General features: G+C 42.4%; 1 non-coding gene across 1 annotated transcript; it reads right to left on the bottom strand.

Moving 5' to 3' along the window:
- Positions 1-288: 288 nt before the first annotated feature.
- LOC124905265 (U7 small nuclear RNA) lies at positions 289-349 on the bottom strand. Its single transcript, XR_007068420.1, has one exon. It is a non-coding gene; the product is annotated as a U7 small nuclear RNA (small nuclear RNA).
- Between the last annotated feature and the right edge of the window lie 5,939 nt (positions 350-6,288).

The following is a 6,288-nucleotide window of genomic DNA, read 5'->3' as shown; positions in this document are numbered from 1 at the left end:
TTATTCCTTGTAAACTCCTGGAGAGTTAGGAGTATAGAACAGACCTAGAGAGAGAAAGCAAAACTATTTCAGAGAGCTGCACTGAGAATTGGATTTGTCATTGCAGGATGGGCATCAGTTGTTACTAACATAACTTCAAACACAGAACTTTGAAAGAGCACGTATGTGGTCAAATAGAGATTGAAACAGAATCTTGATAGAGCTCCAGTGTTCAGATGTTTATAAACTGTAAGATGCCTCCTTTCTTGTGCTCACTCTTCCACGCACCTCTCTCTCCTCTACCTTTTTAAGGGTTTCCAGTGAAAACTGAGAAATCTGCTAGACTAATTCCAAAAGAGCTGTAACACTGTGTCTCCTTCTTTATTGAGTACGGTCATAGTTTTCAGCACATGAGCATCAGCAGGATTACAGATGTCTCTCTAAAACAAAAAACAAACAAAAAGTTGACCACTTTTCAGTGCTGCTTAGTGTGAAAACATAAAGACATACTGAATATTTATCAGTGCCAGGGTTGTGTGGGTCTGTCCACACAAACGCAAGCAAACTTTGTCATTCCACTCAAATGAGCCAGTGGCAAAGGGAAATGTTACTTATTTGAGCAGGCTTATGTTACTGTCACCTTGAACAAAAGGTGCTGGTCCAATGTCTCAGTGTAGATCATAAACAAAAAAAGCTTTGAGCCTAGCCTCATCCAGAAAAGAAACCCCTTTGTAGTTTGGACTTCAGGCTGAGTTTGTCATGCACCTGCCCTATCATCCATTCCCTAGGCATTCTAATACTAATTTCTAAAATGAGGATTGAATAAAACTATTTTTGTTTGGGAAATGTCCTGAGATGTCCTGTGATGACCAGAAAGTCTGTCAGGTAAGTTTGACCCCTAAAGCTTGGCTTTGCTCCCCTAGAGGAAACATTCATTAACATTTGTTGAGTGTCTACTGTGAATCAGGCACTGTGCTAGGGCACTTCACATGTGCTCTCTTCTTTAACCCTTAAAATGGCCCAATGAGGGAGGCATTTGCATCCCTCTTTTCCAAATTGGTGACCAAGACTCAAGAAGAGTAAAAACTTACCCAAGGTTGCAAAGCCATCAACTGATAGAACTAGTATGCAATGCCAGCTCTGGCTTACTCTGAAGTGCATGTCTTTGCTCACCACTTCACTGCACTGGTCTCTTGGCTCCTGGATGCTTGAGAAAACCACATCTAGCCATCATCTAGAGATAATCTGCAGCCTTTATAAGTCACTATTTTGGAAGATCACTGATTCAGGTAGCCTTTGTTTTAGGATAGCTTTTACATTTGCAATGTGGTTGTGACTGTGGATTTCCCACTAACCAGAAAAGATTGGCATGTTGTACCACTTTAATCATAATGCTTGAAATAATTACTACATAATTTCAACACCTTGCCTTATATCTCAAAATAGGGAGATGATGATGTACTAACAGAGGTTGTTACACTGACAGCCCACTTAGGCTTTCACCAAATTTGTTGAATTGTAAGTCAAACAACAAATAGAGGGACTTATTAGGTAAACACAGTTAAAATGCATAGCTTCCTGAAAGGCTGCTGATAGTAGACATTCATGAAGACTTGTGCAGGTGCCATTAATTTTTAATTTGCCATCTGTAGAGTCAGTACCTCCAAATATCATTTTTGGGGTCTCTACTTGGGCAGTGTTCCAGGTTGAGTATCGGGAGTGGGAGGAATATTCCAAACCCACACCTGTTCAGATAAATGGTGATATCATTAGCAACAAGAAGTAAGTGATCATGGCTTCTCCCGCTTTTCATAAATTACACAAAATAACCATAATGCTGCAATTTAGTGGTCCAAAGTTCATTCTATTCAGCAGGCCATCCATAGTCAACAGTTTAAAGAAAAGGGACCTGCTGAGAAAATAGTGGTCTAATCAGATGCCATAAAATCGAGCTGATGAGATGAGTCTTATTTCTTATTTTGTAAGGGGATTCTAATGAAGCAATGCTGGGAGGGGATTCATAACTTTCATTATTCAGGTCAGCTGCATCCAGTTCCAAATGAGGCTGGGGAGCCTAATCCTACAAATTATTTGTAGACATGCTGGATTGTGCAGGGGACTTATTAAATCCCAATTTCCTCGCTGCCAAATTGTACACCTTGTCTTGGTTCCTATGAGGACTAATGAGAAAGCTTTGGAAAAAAGGTAAGTCAAAGGGAAAAGTAATCAAATGAAATGTACTGAAGGATGGTGCCTCAAAAACAAATTCATCAAATGCTGAAAGTGGAAGACAAGAGGGCTCCATTTGTGTACAGCACAATAACAGCTCTCACAATATGGTAAACACCTCTGAGGCTCAGGTGGGCAAACACAGGCAGGTTCAAGCGGGAAGTTTCCATGACACATCTAGCACACCTTTCTCTCCAGAAAGAGCCTGAGGGGGGAGGGAAGGGAAGGTTGGCCATTTACTTAAAATCTGCCCACTAGGTCCATAGGCCTCTAGAAATCATCTACCTGTCAATGTACAATTATCTCCTGCCAGGGAGGCATAAATAGCCCAACTGTTAATTTCTGAATTTATTCAATAAATAGTTTCCCAGTGGAATATATAGGAATTATGTTTGAAGTAACTCCAATATGGTAAGTGGGAAATGGACGTATTTCCTTTTGGCAGCACTGAATAGATTGACAATGTATTTTTAATACTTTCAGCATTAAGGAATTCATTAACAAAGCCAGACAAAGGAATCGGTCACCAGCTCCTGGGGAGCAGAGAATCTTTCTGCTGCAGCTCTTGGCTATTGCCTTCTCAGCTCTCTGCTCTCTGCCATTGGGTTGTGTCTTGCTTACTTGCAGGAGAAACTGAGGCCATGGAGAGGAAGGAACTCATACTGTTGTTAAGATTAAATGAGGCAATGCATGCAAAGCTCTTAGCAAGGAGTTTGGCACCTTAAATGATAAGCACTCAATAAATGATACTTAATGTTATTGTTATTATTACTTTTGCAATCACTATCATTATCATAGGAGGAGGTATCTAACTTTTTTTTTTTTTTTTTTTTTGAGACAGGGTCTCACTCCTGTTGGAGTGCAGTGGCAAAATCTTGGCTCACTGCAACCTCTGCCTCACAGGCTCAAGCAATCCTCCCACCTCAGCCTCTTAGGTTCCTGAGTAGCTGGGTCTATAGGCCTGCACTACCACACCTACCTAATTTTTTGTATTTTTAGTAAATACAGGGTTTCACCATGTTGCCCGGGCTGGTCTCGAACTCCTGAGCTCAGGCAATCTGCTCACCTTGGCCTCCCAAAGTGCTGGGATTACAGACATGAGCCACCACCTCGGCCATATATAAATCTTAATGTGTTGAAAGTTATTTGGGATTCTTGTTCTCTAAGATCCCAGTGACACTTCCCAGTGGCCCATATGGGATAACCAAAGTGAGCTCAGCCTGTCTTGCCAGGTGAAGTCCTTTCAGTACAGCTTGATCAACCTTAACTAAATAAGTCTGGTGTCCAGTGATCATAGCTCAAATAAAGAGGATTTCTCTTCTGTGTATAACATGGTTTATAAACTAGGAGTGAGGGGTAACCCACCTCTGGACTCATTAATCAATTCAACAAATATTGGTTGAATGCTTAATAGTTCTGTGCCAGCCTTACTTTTGGATGCTGGGAATAGAGTGATAAACAAAAATAGACACAATTCCTGCCTTTATGTAGTTTACAGTCTGGTGGGTGTGAGGTGGGGGATGAGGGAAGGGGAAGAGACAGACATTGAACTCAACCTACTAGAAGATGTGTACTTGAAACAATATGCATGATCCCAAAATGATTATATCAAAAGAAAATTTCACAGAAGAAATAATAGAACAGGTTTTCAGTCTGTCATTTCCAGAGCACTGGTACCTTACTAGCCAACCAGACATAGGCAAAACAAACAAACAAACAAACAAACAAACAAACAAAACGAAGCAAAACAAAAACACACCAAAAAAACAAACAAACAACAACAACAACAACAAATCAAAACAAACAAACAAAACACTGAAGCTGCTCCTGAGTCTGAAATCTCCACCCAAAGGAGTGGGGCAGAAGCATGGAAGGAAACTCTGTGAAGTCACTTGTACCCTTGCACTGCCCCAACTGGCAGTAAAGTGAAACAGGTCATACATGACACCCAAGAGTATGAGAGTGAAAAGAGGCACTCCGTACTGCCTTCACTGGTGACTCACTATGGCATTCATCCAGTCAGCATGCATTTATTGAGCCCTTACTAAATTCCAAAGGGTACACAGTAGTCCCTGCTTTCAGAGAGCTTCCATTCTAGTGATTGGCCCTGAGTCACTAACCAATGATGGTGAGTTCATCTACATTCCTAAAGGTAAGGGATAGCTAAATTAATATTAAAGGCAGTTTGGAAATGTATGCCAGGCAGAAAGAACAGCAAATACAAAGACTGGAAACAAGAACAAGCTTGGAGTATATAAGCAACAGAAGAAAGTCCACTGGGGCTGGGCGCGGTGGCTTACGCCTGTAATCCCAGCACTCTGGGAGGCCAAGGCGGGTGGATCGGCTGAGGTCAGGAGTTCGAGACCAGCCTGGCCAACATGGCAAAACCCCATCTCTACTAACAAATACAAAAATTAACTGGGCATGGTGGCACGCAGCTGTAATTCCAGCTACTCAGGAGGCTGAGGCTGAAGAATCGCTTAAATCCAGGAGGCAGAGGTTGCAGTGAGCCGAGATCGCGCCACTGCACTCCAGCCTGGGTGACAGAGTGAGACTCTGTCTCAAAAAAAAAAAAAAAAAAAAAAAGAAAGTCCATTGGGATTGCAGCATAGTGGATGAGGGAGAGATTGGTGGCAAAGAAGGCAGGAGAGAGTTCTGGCTTATACAACTGGGTACATGGTGGTGCCATTCACTGGGAGAGGGACCATGGGAGAAAGAGGTTATTATAAATTGTCATTGCTCGCATGTGGCACAATTTTGCCACATGATCATCCTAGGCTTAGGATCACTAAGGCCATTTCCAACTTACTAATAGGCAAGCTTTCAAGGTCTATTTGTGAGATGGCTTGTTAAAATCCAGAGTTTGTTTTCCCATAGAGTAATGTTATATGTGGCCAGCAGATGGGCTGTTGTATTGGAAATTTTACTGTCCAAGACCCAAGTGTGGAGCTGGAGTGAACCTGGACAAAGTGCCATTCATGGAGGGGCTATGTCAATGTCAAGGCCCTGGTGTAGCCATGGATATCATCTGAGTGCTGCCTGTGGCTAAATTAGCGCTCATGGAGTATTGATGGGCAGGACCATAGGATTAGCTCAGGCCAATGGACCATGAGCAGAAGTGATGTGAGTTACTCCTAGGCCAGAGCATTTAATGACTGGTAAGCCATTAATGTAAGCAACCTCTTTCTAGATGGCAACCCATGTAAGACATGTAGCAAGAATGAAATAGAAATGTGTATTACTAAAATTGTGGGTAGTTAGCACAATGTAGGCTAGCCTACCTTATACAGTGGTGTTTGCCATTTGGCAGTCTAAATCCATCAGGTCCTCCTGTGTACCATGCCATAGATGGAGGAGGTATTAGATTGGCCATGAATAATATGCCTGGGTAGGCTTGGTGTGGTGCTCATACCTATAAATCCAGCACTTTGGGAGGCCAAGATAAGAGGGTCACTTGAGCCCAGGAATTCAAGACTAACCTGGGCAACATGGCAAGACCCCATCACTACAAAAATAATAATAATAAAAAAATTAGCCTGGCATGGTGGTGCCTGCTTGTGGTCCTAGCTACTCGAGGGACTGAGATGGGAGGATCACTTGAGCCCAGGAAATAGAGGCTGCAGTGAGCTGTGATGGCACCACTGTATTCCAGCCTTGGTGACAGAGTGAGACCCTGTCTCAATAATAATAATAATCATAATGCTCATTTCAGATATCCAGCTAGACTTGTCCTCTTGCTCGCTTGACCTTTCAATATGCTAATGTTTACTCTCATTTCACTGTGCCTCTATTCCCTAACTGCATAGCTTGACTTTCAATAACTGCCCCTCATGGCCTACCCAGCTTCCTGACACATTTTCATGCCTTTCTCTGCTTTATTGACCTTGAGTTCCCACTTGCCTCTCCTCTCTGCACACCATCTCAATTTGAGCATCCTTTGTAGCTATACACAGGATACTCTCACAAACAACTCTTGGCACTATGAGAGCCTCATCAAGCCCCATCTCCACAGGATAAGGGAGTTTAGATACTAGTAAAAAAAAGGGAGCCAATGATGTTTTCTGGGGAAGCAATACTGAA

Source organism: Homo sapiens, chromosome X (genome assembly GCF_000001405.40).
Source record: "Homo sapiens chromosome X, GRCh38.p14 Primary Assembly".
Taxonomy (NCBI): domain Eukaryota; kingdom Metazoa; phylum Chordata; class Mammalia; order Primates; family Hominidae; genus Homo; species Homo sapiens.
The sequence above is the reverse complement of the archived record's forward strand: the minus strand, read 5'-3'. Positions and strand labels throughout refer to the sequence as shown.